This window comes from Homo sapiens, chromosome 8 (genome assembly GCF_000001405.40).
Source record: "Homo sapiens chromosome 8, GRCh38.p14 Primary Assembly".
Lineage (NCBI taxonomy): Eukaryota > Metazoa > Chordata > Mammalia > Primates > Hominidae > Homo > Homo sapiens.
Window position 1 is genome coordinate 130146123 of NC_000008.11, and position 15082 is coordinate 130161204.

The 15082-nt window shown below is 41.5% G+C and overlaps 1 protein-coding gene across 24 annotated transcripts in view; it reads right to left on the reverse strand.

Annotated features, from left to right (window-relative positions):
* The window catches only part of ASAP1 (ArfGAP with SH3 domain, ankyrin repeat and PH domain 1), a 391571-nt gene that overhangs the window by 94019 nt on the left and 282470 nt on the right, over positions 1 to 15082 (reverse strand). For 14 of the 24 annotated variants that reach the window (XM_047421810.1, XM_047421806.1, NM_001362926.2 and 11 more), the window contains 2 exons: positions 13742 to 13842; positions 6614 to 6683 (listed from right to left, as the gene is read on the reverse strand). In XM_047421810.1, coding sequence (XP_047277766.1) covers positions 6614 to 6683; positions 13742 to 13842 — 171 coding nt within the window. Of the gene's footprint in view, positions 1 to 6613; positions 6684 to 13741; positions 13843 to 14662; positions 14672 to 15082 lie in introns of all 24 variants that reach the window. The other 10 variants (XM_017013468.2, NM_001362925.2, XM_047421799.1 and 7 more) reach the window with 1 other exon arrangement.

The following is a 15082-nucleotide window of genomic DNA, read 5'->3' on the forward strand; positions in this document are numbered from 1 at the left end:
GAGCCAATGCACCTGGCCTGAAACATTTTAAAGAACTCTATTATTTCTTATATTAGGAATGTGGGCAGGAGGTAACATCACAGCTGATGTCAAACTGCAGGTTCCTTGGTTTTATACCTTCAAATTTGTAAATCAAGACTTTAAAAAAGCCTTTTTACCCCTTAGTAAAAGTAAAAAAAACCTTTTTACCCCTTAGCATATACCTTCGTATATGCTAAGACCTCTGTATATGCTAAGGACCAACAGCACATACTCTAACCAAATGGTCACACTTTCTAAATTTGTGAGCTCTAAATTTGTGAGCCTGGGTTTAACTGGCTCCAAAGTTCGCCCTCTTACAACTGACAGTGCTGCTTTCTAATCTGTTGGAGCGAAGAAAAATATTCTCATTCTCTCTTTTCAGTGACAATGAGAGTAAAGACGTGGAATCAGAGGACAGCCAAGGAGAGCTCCGAAGGCCAGTAACAGAAACAAGGTTACTGAATACATTAATAGCAAAGAAGAGAGCAATCCATTTTGCAGGTCTCTTCCTGTTTCCTGTATGTGCTTTCAGTGCTTCTTTTAAAGCCCTGGAAGCTGAATGTTATCTTCAGCGCTCTGGATGGGGCAAGAAAACAACAGACCTTAGACCCAAAGATCCAAAGGAAAGGGAGAAGAGACACATCCAATTCTTGCTTTAGTGAAATGCCATGGAAGGTGACAGAGCTGCTGTTAATCCCTAAAGGCAGAAATTAAATTTCTATGAAAGAAGAGGTACCCCAAATGGGCTCTGTAAAGTACACTGAGTAGTAATGAAAATAGCAATACAAAAGAATTCCAACGGCCAGGTGTGGCAGCTCATGTCTGTAATCCCAGAACTTTGGGAAGCCGAGGTGGGTGGATCACTTGAAGTCATGAATTTGAGACCAGCCCGGCCAACATGGTGAAACCCCGTCTCTACTAAAAATACTAAAAATTAGCTGGCTGTGGTGGCGCATGCCTGTAGTCCCAGCTACTCAGGAGGCTGTGACATGAGAATTGCTTGAGCCCAGGGAGCCAAGATGGTGCCACTGCACTCCAAAGGGAAATGCAGTCTCAAAAAAAAAAAAAAAAAAAAAAAAAAAAAGAATTCCAATAAACCACAGTTTAAAATGGGGATAGTTGTACATTAGAGAAGTAGTAATACTAATAGCTGACATTTATTGAGCACTAATTCTGCCCTACATTCTGTTCTAATTATTTATAATCAATAAACTCATTTAATCTTTACAATCACTTATGAATTAGGCCTCATTAATAGCCCCATTTTATTTAGATGGAAAATCCTCACTAGAGATTCAGTGTCAGGGTTGAAATTCAAGTCTAGGCAGTCTGGCTCCAGGGTTCCAGATGCTGTGATCCTACTTCAGCTCACTGAGATGACAACAGCTATTAAGTTTAAGGAACACTTATTGCGGTCCAGGCTCTGCAAAGCTTTAAATGCATCATCTTATTTAATTCTCGTAACATGGAAGACAGGTACTGTTATTCTGTTTCACAGATTAGTACAAGTTAAGTAGCTTAATAAAAGGCACATACAATAAGATCCTGAATGGGCATTTACTGCAGATGGACTCAAAAGGATGTGGTCTGACTCTCCCCCTGTTCAAAATGATCAGCCCATCAAGCAGGTGGACACACACACATTATCTACCTAAGAGGTGGAACCTCTAAAGAGGCCAGCTGGATTTCCAACCCTTTTGAGTAAAACACCAGACCTTAATGAACTTCTGTGTGCTATTAAAAATACTGTTGGTGTTGGTTGATTGAGAAAAAAGTGACAATAAATTTAATAATCGTTGTAAGTGTTAATCATAAGGGCATCTGAAGACATCTGAAAGATGTAATGCATTATTTAGGCAGTTTCAGATTCAAATATAAATTCTTAGAACACTTGCATTATCTTCATGACAAGTACTCCTCCTTCTCCTCCCTTCCCGGAATCCCTTACAGCCCTCTCTACCCTAAGACCCCTGACTAATTCAAGGAGTATCAAGGTAAGGCCAAGGTAAGCAGTTCCACTGCAAAGAACTGTTATTCATGAAACTTTCAAAGACCTAACAACAATCTGGCAGCTGAGGAAAAAAAAACCCTATGATACAGTAGAAAGAGTACAGGCTTTAAGGCTGGAAAACTGGTCCAGCTATTTACAAACTTCATGACCCTGAGCATGGGATTTAACCTCTCTGAGCTTCATCTATAAAATGCAGTCTCATTAGAAAAGTATTCACTGAGCACTAAGTACACGTCAGGCAATGTGTTAGGTACTGAAAATTCAAAGATGAGTAAGATGCGGTCCCTACCTCCTAGGAATTTCCAGCATGGTGAGAAATGAAGATAGTGATGCCTATCCTGTAGGGCCATCTTGAAGATGAAGTGCAGGGTGCATTCTAAGTGCTGCATAAATGGCAGTTCTCTTTCTTTTTACAACCCATTATTTAAACAGAATGTGACACTGGTTAATTCACAGAACAGGGTTTTTGAAGAACATAGCTGCTTATACTTTTGAAATTGATTTCTCAAGATTACTACAATAAATATGTCAACTATAATTCTTATACTTTCTGTTGTAATTTGTTTTATGATATTTATTTATACTACAATACTTTTAGTTAGAAAAAACAAACAATTCAAAACTATAGAAATGATAATAGTTTAGTCGCTTCATATAAGCTTTATACTTGAGTTTTGAGGCTAAAACTTTTTTTTCTTGAGACAGGGCCTGGCTCTGTCGCCCAGGCTGGAGTGCAGTGGCGCAATCTTGGCTCACTGCGGCCTCTGCCTCCCAGGTTCAAGCGATCCTCCCACTTCACAGCCTCCCAAGTAGCTGGGAATACAGGTGTGCACCATCATGCCCAGCTAATTTTTGCATTTTTTTTTTTTTTTTTGTAGAGATAGGGTTTCTCCATGTTGCCCAGGCTGGTCTCGAACTCCTGGGCTCAAGTGATCTGCCTGTCTCAGCCTCCCAAAATGAGGCATGAGCGGATTACAGGCATGAGCCACCGCGCCTGGCCTGAGGCTAACTGAAATGTTTGCCAAAGATTTGTTGGAACTGGTATTTTGAAATGAAAGCATCTTATACTGTGTTTAGAACATACTAGATGGTCCATAGTTGGAAGCTGCTATCACAATATTACTACTGTTATAGCAAATTCAGAGATTCACACTGAATTTGGTTCCCACAATTCTGCATTACTTTGAATAGTTGGTAAAAGAATTTTTTTTGTTTTAACAGATACATGAAAAGCAAAGAATTTATGAATGAAATCTTCTAAGGATGGGCTGCCAATTTTTCAGGTGTACACAGAAATGTATTTCTCTTTAGAACAGTAAGCTGGGGAGATGAATCACCTCTGGTGCAGACCTTGCTTGGGTGGCCAAGCCAACAAACCCTGCATCATTAATCTAAATGCATACTTGGCCTTCTCCTGAATCACTTTGATAAGAACAATTTGCAAAGGTGACACTGATGAGGGCCTTCAAACCAAAGAATTTCCATGTGTCCCAAACACCTCAAGTTTTCTGACAACAAAAGCTCTTCTCCCCACTTTTTCAAAGAAGCCCTTTATGTTTTTCTCAGAAAACTGCTGGCCTTGATTTTCAATCTAATTCTAATCAATGGTGTTTGCAAAGTCAGGAAAAGCCCGCTAAAACTGGCTAGAGACCTTTCTGTGGGAGCAGCAATGTGATTATGAGTGATGTTACTGGCAGCAAAAAAGGTCTGGGCCAAAGCCAGTGAAAAGTGGGGAACAGAATAGCACAAATTAGCAGGAGGGAATCAGAAGTTAGGAGAGTAAGCCATTTCCCTCCAGGCTGCTCTGGGGGCAGGAGAGTGCTGATGTTTGTAGCAGGAGGGTTTGCTTGTCAACAGATTTCAGTATTGTCAGCAACATCCAATAAACTAACGGTAATAGCAGCAATAAGTATTAACAGAATGGCCACACATGGCATGTTATCTCACTGAATCCTCATATAATCTTTATGTGTTAAATACTTTTCTCAAGGTCACAAAGTAAATGGCAAAGTTGGCATTCAGACTCACATCAGACAGATGCCACAGTCCATTATCTTAGCCACTAAACAATGTGGATGATGTGATGAGACTTGTTAATTCAAGCCTTAAGAATGCATATAAACAGTTGTTTTGGCCACAACAATGTGTTTTGGCAGGAATAAAATCAGGAGGGGGAAGGGAACTTATTTTATTTTTAGCAAATTGCCCAAGGTCATATAACCACTAAGCAGTGCCACTGATTCACTTCATCAACTATATGATCTCCCATCACTCTGCACTGCCTTCCACAGCAGATTCCTAAGAAAAGCAAATAGATACAACATGATAAAACCATCATATAACTTCTCAAAATGCCTAGTGAGGACTGTTACAGCCTCACAAATCCCAGGGGAGAGCTCTGCAGCAGAAGGCAAAGAGAGTTAGGGTATGCATGGTAACGCTGGCCAGGTGCGGTGGCTCATGCCTGTAATCCCAGCACTTTGGGAGGCCGAGGCGGGTGGATCACTTAAGCTCAGGAGCTTGAGACCAGCTGGGCAACACAGCGAAACCCCTACCTCTACAAAAAAATACCAAAATTAGCTGGGCGTGGTGAAGTGTGCCTGCATTCCCAGCTACTTAGGAGGCTGAGATGGGAGGATGGCTTGGGCCCAGGATGCAGAGGTTGCAGTAAGCCGAGATCGTGCTACTGCATTCCAGCCTGGGCGACAGAGCCAGACCCTGTCTCAAACAAAACAAAACAAAAACATGGTAACTGACTAAAAACTCACCATCTATATAGTCAAAGGATCAGAAATGTTCACTCTGGCATACACAGATGACTGTGTATGGAATTAAATATAAGAAAATAAAAATTATCTAATTTTTCATTCATGCATCTTTGATGCCTACACCAGAACATGGCAGAATGGAAGCTTAACAAAAGATTGCTGAAGAAGGGCCAGGCGTGCAGGCTCACGCCTGTAATCCCAGCACTTTGGGAGGCCGAAGCGGGCAGATCACAAGGTCAGGAGTTTGAGACCAGCCTGGTCAATATGATGAAACCCTGTCTCTACTAAAAATACAAAAATTAGCCAGGTGTGGTGGTGGGCGCCTGTAGTCCCAGCTACTCAAGAGGCTGAGGCAGGAGACTCGCTTGAACCTGGGAGATGGAGGTTACAGTGAGCCAAGACTGCACCACTGCACTCCAGCCTGGGTGAAAGAGCGAGACTCAGTCTCAAAAAAAAAAAAAAAAAAAAAAAAAAAAAAAAAAAAAAAAAGATTGCTGAAGAAATGAATAACTGTTAGACAGCCTCAATCATAATTACAAACAGATCCAAGTCTGTAGACAGGATTTCTGATATCAGATGGGTAGCTGGACACAACTGGCATGACAGCTAAAAATCTCAGCTGGGCTGTTTGAGGGAAATTGCAGACCTCTGAGGAATTCCTCCGAAGAATCACTGAAAAGTGTGCTGCGAGGGGCAAGGGACAGAGACAATGCAACTGCTCAAGTTCCATAAAGGACAACAATCTTTAAGATGTGTGCAGTCATTTACCACAAAGGACTGGGCCACAAGTGTATACTAAGAGCCTTCTGTATGTCAAGTTCTGTGTGAGAGGCTGAAGACAGAAAGAACAGGACTAGTAAGTGCCCAAGGGGGCGCTTACAGTCTAGTAAGATGATGTGTTCTGCAGGAAGAGAGAGAAAGGCCACAAGGACTAATGTCAGACAGACACCCGAGTTTGAACTTCCAATTCTGTGAGTAACTAGCCAAGTTACAGCTGTTCTTTGTGCTTCAGTTTCTTCATCTGTAAAATGAAGGTTATTATACCACATGGGTTGTTGGGAGGATTAACTGAAATAAAGTTTATGAAGGTAAGTGGTACTTCCTTTCCTCCCTGATAGATATCTAAAGTCAGCTGTAAGTCATACAAAATTGCCAACATAATAAATGCTCATCTCTCTTTTCTACTATTCTGCTGGCAATTCATTGAGCAGTGCCCCAAGGACATCACTTGGCACAGGATACTGTAATTTAATGAGTTTTTAAAATCCAAACTGAGATTACTGGGTTAAACAGCAAGCACATTAAAAAAGTCTTGGCATATACTTTGCCATTTCCATTCCTGCTTGGTACATTTTCCACTACAATCTCTGCATCTTTAAGAACTGAAAAGAGTTTTCTGTTGGTTTAAAAAGGGCAAAACTTACTGTGCACTTCTTTGACTACCACCAAGGTTTTTACATCTACTGTTACGTTTCCTACATTATTTTTACATGCAAAGAACAGCCTGTCATCTCTATAATTCAAAGACCTAGGTTTTTCAGAACAATCAATATTTCCCAAAAGATAATATTATGAAATCAAAATACCGTATTCATTTTGAGAGAGCAAAAAAACAAGTTTCTAGTGATGCCAAAGAATGGTGCAGACTACCACAGGACAAGATAAAACTTTTTTTTTTTTTTTTTGGTAAAGGAATATCTAAAATGATCTGACCCAAATGCATAAATATATTTGCGCCAATTTTTACTGCTGAGTACATAATCGTGTTTGCTTTCTGGCCCATGAGGCAGGGTAAATTAAGAAACATACTTACTGTGGCATGTGAGATGGTCAGAATCCCATTCTTGACTGAACACTTCCTCCTCTGCCATACTTTCCGGATCCTAAGGAGGAAGTCAAACACAACTAGATATAGTAACTGATTCACTCTGGGACATGCGACGATACAGTATGATACATAATAATAATTACAAAATAACTTCCCCAAACCAAAAAATCCAACCCCCCCAAAAAAATCCTGGTTGCCTTTTATTATCCCAGGTGGAAGGTAATTCACACAAGTAGCCATGTACAAGGATGCTCATTACAGCACTGCTTTTTAATTTTTTTTTTGAGATGGAGTCTTGCTCTGTTGCCCAAGATAGAGTGGTGCAGTGGCATGATCTCGGCTCACTGCAACCTCCATCTCCCGGGTTGAAGCGATTCTCCTGCCTCAGCCTCCCGAGCAGCTGGGATTACAGGCTCCTGCCACTGCGCCCGGCTAATTTTTTTATTTTTAGTAGAAATGGGGCTTCACCATCTTGGCCAGGCTGGTCTCGAACTCCTGACCTCATGATCCACCAGCCTTGGCCTCCCAAAGTGCTGAGATTACAGGTGTGAGCCACAGCACCTGGCCAGCACTGCTTTTTAAATATATATATATATATATATATATATGTATATATATATATATATATATATATTTTGAGACAGGGTCTTGCTCTGACATCCAGGCTAGAGTACAGTGGCATAATCATGGCTCACTGCAGCCTTGACTTCTCAGACTCATATGATCCTCCCACCTCAACCTCCAGAGTAGCTGGGACCACAGGCACACCCCACCATGCCTGGCTAATTTTTACATTTTTTGTAGACAAGGTTTTGCCATGTTGCCCAGAATGGTCTCAAACTCCTGGGCTCATGCAATCTGCCCGCCTCGCCCTCCCAGAATGCTGAAATTACAGGTGTGAGCCACTGTGACTGGCCGTGGCACTGCTTTGGACAGTAAAAATGGGAAATAGAAACAATAATAATCTAACAGCAGGAGACTCAATAAATGAATGACAGGTACTACAATGATATAATAATAACTCCTCTCTAGGAAGGGGACCCAAACCTGTTGGGGGTGGTGTTAATTAAGTAGTTTTCAATCATATCTGTGAATCTTTCATAAGAATGTTCAATTGATTACTTTTGTTATTAATAATTGATTTTTAAAAATTAAGAAAGTGGTTGGGCATGGTGGCTCATGCCCGTAATCCCAGCACTCTGGGAGGCTGAGGTGGGAGGACTGCTTCAGCCCAGGAGTTCAAGACCAGCCTGGACAACATAGGGAAATCCCATATCTACAAAAAATAAAAATTAAAGTTAAGAAAGTAACTCAAGAAGTCTGCCATGCAAGGAGCGAGGGGTGAACTGCCTCGGGAGGTACAGGACAAGCTTAGCCAGGGCTCAAGAATGCATCATCATTTTTGGTAACTCATACACCACCCCTTTAGGGGTCTTCCAGAGACAGAATGGTGCCTCAGAGCCCCGAGAAAAAACTGTTCATGATTCACAAAGGGAAGTAAATGGTGACCAAATCATTCACAAATAGTTAGTAACAAGTGATAGACATTTTGAAAAATGTGATTTGATGATATTGAAGGATAAAAAAAGCCAAAGAGAACGAATTAAAACTTGGAAGAGTTTTGTGTGTGTGAAGCTCCAGGCACAGACGAGACTGCATGTGTGGTAGATCTGCGTGTGTGCAGGTAGATGCAAATGCACTAGTTGAGACTAACTACTTCCATCAGATAAGAAGAAATGGGCAGGGAACAGTGATTCCCTAGGCTGGAAGTAAGTTTTGAAGGCCTTCTGTTGCTGTGGAAACAAATGACATCAGGAGACCACTGTAGCTTTCCCAGGCATTTAAAACAGTATCATCTTATGTTTTTCTTTTCCTTCTTAAATTAGTCCTCTAAGAAAGCTGCCACAACACAAATTTAAAACCATCTCTAAACACAAATAATATTGTGCATTTAACTACTAGAAGCACAGTTTGTTCTAAAGCATGCTTCACAGAAGGAAGTAAGAATCTGACACCATCTAACCAAATGCAAATTGAACATACTGTATTCAGAATGCTAGCCTTGCTGAGGAGGTAATTTAACTACTAATTGATAAACCATCCTCAAATAAGAGCTAAATCACATACTTTCTTCTAGAAGTACTGGCCAGGGAAATGTCTGATTAGAGGTGGCATCTCTCAACTAATCAGAGCCACATTTGGTTAACGTGACTAACTCTCTGCAAGTAGTTTTGCATCCATCTTACTCTCACAAGAGCCTGCTAACATAGGTGAGGCATCCCTGTATACACTAAGCCAAAACCAGTGTCATCCTAAATATCAAACACTCAATCCACCAATCAAACTATTCAACCTTCAGGAATAGTTTAAAGCCTCAGTTTATCCATTTTATTAAGTCTTTACTCATTAGTTTTACTTACACATGTATATTATGGAAACAATACACACACACGCGCGCACACACCCCTTCTCTTCTGCTGCTAATAAAGCCAAGGAAAGTAACACAGAAGCATTATTCTGGGTTGACAGAGATTGTGACTGAGGCACTTTCAGATCGCCAGAGGAAAGGGAACAATCTTGAGATATCTCCTGGCACAGTTGAGAGCAGTATTGCCTGATCTTTTGTGTGCGAGAGAGACAGGGTGTCACTTTGTAACCCAGGCTAGAGTGCAGTGGTGCGATCATGGCTCACTGCAGTCTTGACCTCCCAGGCTCAAGCGATACTCCCACCTCGGCCTCCTGAGTAGCTGGGCCTACAAGCATGTGCCACTACGCCTGGCTAATTTTTGTAGAGATAGGGTTTTGCCATGTCGCCCAGGCTGGTGGGCTCACGTGATCTGCCGGCCTCGGCCTCCTAAAGTGTTGGGATTACAGGCATGAGCCACTGCGCCCAGCCAGCACCTGATCTTTGTGAACATTTTGATAGCTTCTATTCCCAAGACTTCTATGGACTAGACTGAATTGCTGTGATCTCCCCCACTCTCTGTACTGAAAGCTTTACAAATGTTCCAGTCTGCATAGCTCCTGAATGGACATACCAAAGACTCTTGGCATCTGGTGCTCACAGAGAGTGCCACACACGATTACTGATTATGCCATGCTAGAATCTTACAATTCCAGAAAAGAAAATTCTATTAGAAAATGGTCTCGTATAAATAGATAATTCCAACTTTGATGCCAGATCACTTGAGCTTTGATCCCAGCGCGATCTCTAGCTATGTGACTTTGCTCATGTTATTTGACCTCTTGGAGACTCATTCTCCTTTTCTGTATTACAAAGACAGTAATGCCCACTTTCGTACATATAATGAGAAAATATAATAAAGCAATTGCTCCTTTGTCTCTCAATAATTGCCTCTGGTCCATAAAGTTTTAAAAAATTATTTTTATAATCCTTTAAGTAATAAAGAGCATTCCAAAGCTAGGGTCAAAAATTACCAACGCAAATAATACTTCAGAGAAAAATCACAGGACATATCAGTGGTCATTGTTTGCAAATGAGTCTGTTTTCATGTATAAGCATTTCAATTTTTTACTCTTCCACAGAAGTCACAAGCAACTCCAGGTTATTAGTGCTCATCTTTGCTATCTGTGCCATTATTAGGAGGTGGAACCACCTGACTTCCAACCTCCTTTCCAACTCTATGATCCAACAGCTCTGTCTGTATCTCTTTCCAACAGACTGCAGTCAAAGTGAGGGTGAGGACCGTATCTCATTTATGTTTTACCTCCAGCATCTAGCAGGCTGCCTCATACACTAGAGTATTTCATCTATGTGTGTGGAATGAGTACATGAAGGAAAAGAACAAAAGAACGAAGAAGTCAAGGGGGTGAATTTGTGCCAGTTTATGCCTTGCATATCCTTAGAGTGATAACAGCAGCAGTGGCCCTTTTGAAAAACAAAGGGGAGATACCCTGGCATTAAGTCAGAAGACCCAGGTTCAAATTTGAGTGTTCATACTTACTGTCCGTATGATCTTAGTCAAATTATTTAATCCCTCTGTAAAAGATGTCAAATGAGATGAGTGAGCAGGCACCTGGGTGTGTGGCAGGCATACACAGGTGCTCTCAAGATAATTTACTTGAACACTTTAGGGTTTGAACTATGCAACACTTAAGAAAAGACTGTTGATCTTCCTTGGATATACAGATTTTAACCGTTTCACTTAGAATTAGGCAATTCTAATTTCAAGAAGATCATTGTGATTTCGGGAGAGTAGTGTTAAAAAATGACTTTTATACTTTTGCTTCAATAGATATGTAATAGTACATTGTTGCTCATAATGGAACACAATATTAACTTTTCGTTTGATGACAGAACAGGTCACATTTCCAAGAGATGTTTGTACCACAGATGGTCAGGGAAGAACAAGGAGCTGAGCCTGAGGCTTTTCAGCAAGATAAGCTATGGAATTTACAATTTATGTACACTTTATCTCATGCAGTTTGGACTAGCATTTGGTCACCATTCTAGAGCCCAGTTTAAATCTGTGAATTGTTAGTTGGGATTTCTTTTCTCCTTTTACTTTCACAGCAGGATTAAGCTAACTGATTCTACAATGAGCCAGATGCTGGACGAGGGGTGATTTTCTTTCTCTACACCCCATATCAGCAAGTCCTGCTGCCCCTGCCTCCATTATCCACAACTGACCACTTTTTACCCTCTCTTCTGCAGTTCCCCTGGCCTCATCATCAGCTCCCATCTAGGTTTCTGATGCAGCCCTCCCTCTAACTGGTCTCCTTGTCTCTGTGCTTTCACCCTCCATGACTCTGCTTTGCTTGGTAGTCAGAGAGAAGCTTCCAAAACATGTTGGATTATGTCACTCTTGTGCTCAAAACCCTCTAATGATTCCCCACCTCACGGAGTGGTTCCCTGTCCCTCTGACCTTATCTCCTATGACCTCCTGGCTTGCTCACTACTCTAGCTACATTGAACTCTCAAGTATTTGTCACCATGAGATGCATGCTCCTGACTACTTCCTCTTCTCCCAGGTATCTGCATAGATTTCTCTCACTTCCTTTGCTCAAACATCAACTTGATAAAGTCTTCCCTAATCACCTGTATAATAGCAAGAACCACTCCCATCCCCCACACCACCTGCATCTCTTGCTTGATCTTTCTCCGTAGCACTAATTACCATCTGATCTACCATATATTGAGTATTTTTTGTCTCTTTCCTTCCTTAGAATGTCAGCTCTATCAGGGCCAGATTTTCTTTTGTTCAATGCTGTATTCTCAGGACCTAGAAGAGTGAGTCCTAGACATACAGCAGGACTCAAAATATCTTTGTTGAATGCATGAGTAGAATAATAAGCAAAACAGTCAATGACCCCAGAAATTTAGAAGAGAAATATTTATAATTTTAACAAACAAATTACAGTAAAAAATGTACATGTCTCAGATTAAGCCAAGGAGTACGTATCCACAAGTAATCAGAAAACAAGGAGCTTTCTTTTAAAAAAAAACAATGACAATAGGCCAGGCACAGTGAGTCATGCCCGTAATCCCAATACTTTGGGGGACCAAGGTGGGAGAATTTCTTGAGGCCAGGAGTTCAAGACCAGCCTGGGCAACAAAGAGGGACCCTGCTTATATTTAAAAAAAAAAAAAAAAAGTATCCAGGCATGGTGGCATGTGCCTATAGTCCCAGCTACTCAGGAGGCTGAGGTGGTAGAATCGCTTGTGCCCAGGAATTGGGAGGTTGTAGTGAGCTGTGATGGTGCCACTGTACTCCAGCCTGGAAGACAGAGCAAGGTCCTGTCCCCTCCCTCCAAAAAGACAATTATTAAAGGGAATAATGAAGATTCTACTTATGCACTTACTGTGAAGCAGAATCATTTGTTTAAGCAACAGAAAAGAAGCCTCATGTGGCAGGATCAGGGGAGAAAATGGAACAAGATGAGGTGGGACAGGAAGGCAGGGTTGAGATGCTATATGCAAAGGGAAGCCGCTGGAGTATTTTAAGCAGGCGAATGACATCATATGCTTTATGATTTTTTTTTTTTTGTCTCGCACTGTTGCCCAGGCTGGAGTGCAGTGGTGCGATCTCAGCTCACTGCAAGCTCTGCCTCCAGGGTTCGCACCATTCTCCTGCCTCAGCCTCCCAAGTAGCTGGGACCACAGGTGCCTGCCACCATGCCTGGCTAATTTTTTGTATTTTTAGTAGAGACGGGGTTTCACTGTGTTAGCCAGGATGGTCTCGATCTCCTGACCTCGTGATCTGCCCACCTCGGCCTCCCAAAGTGCTGGGATTACAGGCGTGAGCCACCGCGCCCGGCTGTGCTTTATGATTTTTAAAAGACCACTCTAATTGCTGTGTGAAGGTGAACTGCAGAAAAAGAAGAATGAGCGATACAAAGAGACCAGTTAGGAGGCCGCTGAATACTCCAGGAGAGACAGCAGCAGCTCACCCTAGAGCAGGGGCTGAGGGGATGGCAAGAGTATATTACTTTCAGAGTTAGAAATGGAAGAGCTTTTGCCAGATTGGCTATAATACAAGAGGCAAAAGAGGAGTCAAGGGTGACACCCAAGGTTGGGTGGCCTGGTGAGCAACAGGCAGAGAAAACTGCAGTGAATAAAAGGGTAGAGGGGCCGGGCACGGTGGCTCACACCTAAAATCCCAGCACTTTGGGAGGCTGAGGTGGGCAGATCACAAGGTCAGAAGATCGAGACCAACCTGGCTAACATGGTGAAATCTCGTCTCTAGTAAAAATACAAAAAATTAGCCAGGCGTGGTGGCAGGCGCCTGCAGTCCCAGCTACTCGGGAGGCTGAGGCAGGAGAATGGCGTGAACTCAGGAAAAAAAAAAAAAAAAAAAAGCGGAGAGGTGGGTGAGTATGAGGTCAGCACTTGCCTGCTGCATGTGCTACTCAGTAGCTGCCTTCCTATAATTGCACGTTACAAGACAGAAGTGCCATTTAGGGACCACAGAGCAATTACTGTTTCTTCTAAAGAGAGCTGGTCAAATCTCGGATTTACTTGAAGAAAACCAGTGTGCTAAAGGTCTGCAGCTAGTGTATTATAAAATTTTAAGTGTGTTTCCCTATATGAGAGACTGGAAACATTTTCTAGGTTAATCACACACTGAGACACTGGGCTGGGCTCATACATACCCGTCACTTTTCTTTAGCAGGTACCCCTTCTTTTCACTGCCATATTCCTTATTGCCCTGGAGCTGATGCATGCTGTATCCTCCTTGCCGGCTCTGAGAATCCTAGGAAAGAAAAACTACAGATTAAACAAAAACTAGAGACAATTCTCCCATCTTTGATTCTATTCTGCCATTGAGCCTTTGGCACTGGTCTGGGTCTAAGGGAATTATGGAACTTTAAGAGCTGTCAGGTCCTTTCCTTTATTTTAGAGGAGGAAACAGGGCAGCTAAACACTTGCCAGAGTCACAAAGCAAGTCCGAGGCAGAGCTGGGGTCTGGGTCTCTGATTTCTAGTTCAAAACCCACCTCTACTCTGAACTGAATTCAAACAAGCACAATGCACTGGTAGACAGACTACTGTAAGACTGAATCCAGTTTACACTAGCGGCAGAGGCAAACACAGGAGGGACTGGAAAAAATGAAGTGGACCAGAAAATAAAGTCCATGCAACCCAAACATGTTCTTCCCTTAGGCTGTACCTTTCTCCCTTTACACATTCTGCCAATATGCCCCCAAATAAAAGGGGAACCTTCTAAGCAAGGTTTTAACAATTATTATGTCTCTCATTTTGTAATTAGTGCTCTGTAAAATATACCTATAACCACATTTTTTAAATTAAGACAATTCTACAGCAGTGAAAAGTGTTATGATGTCGTGGAGGGTGACAAGGGCCAAACCAACAACATAGATGTAAAAAAGGTTGATTTATTATTAGCATTCCACTGACATTTAACCATAGTTTCTAAGGACTACATGACTAGAAACAGCCATTACATTACGAAAATGTAAGAAATAAAATCAACAACGTTGAACTGCAGAACGAGAACATGGTCTTTAGACATACAAGTAGGACAATATATTCTCATAAAAAGTATTGACTTACTCTCCTAGACTTCGATCAGGAAGGGCAAAAGAAACAGAGAAAAAAGGCAGAACATTTGAAAATATAGTTAATTTCATTGAAAATGTTATCCATAATTTAAGCATTTTATATAATGTACACAGAAAATATCACTGTAAAGATAATACCAGAAAACACATACACCTCTAGATTCAGGATAAACTTTGGGTGACAGGACAATCAAATGTCTGTATTTATCAGGTTTTATTTCAGGTCATATGGCGTGAGAACAGAAACATGGCTAAATAGAAGAATGTGAGGCACACACACATTTTAGGAAGATAAAATGGTTGACAAACCTCAAATGTGTATGTATAGGGAATCAATACCTCAGTGAAACCCAAAATGAATTATTCAGAAAATCTAGGAATAGCCACAAATTGTAGCAGGACTTTTTTTTTT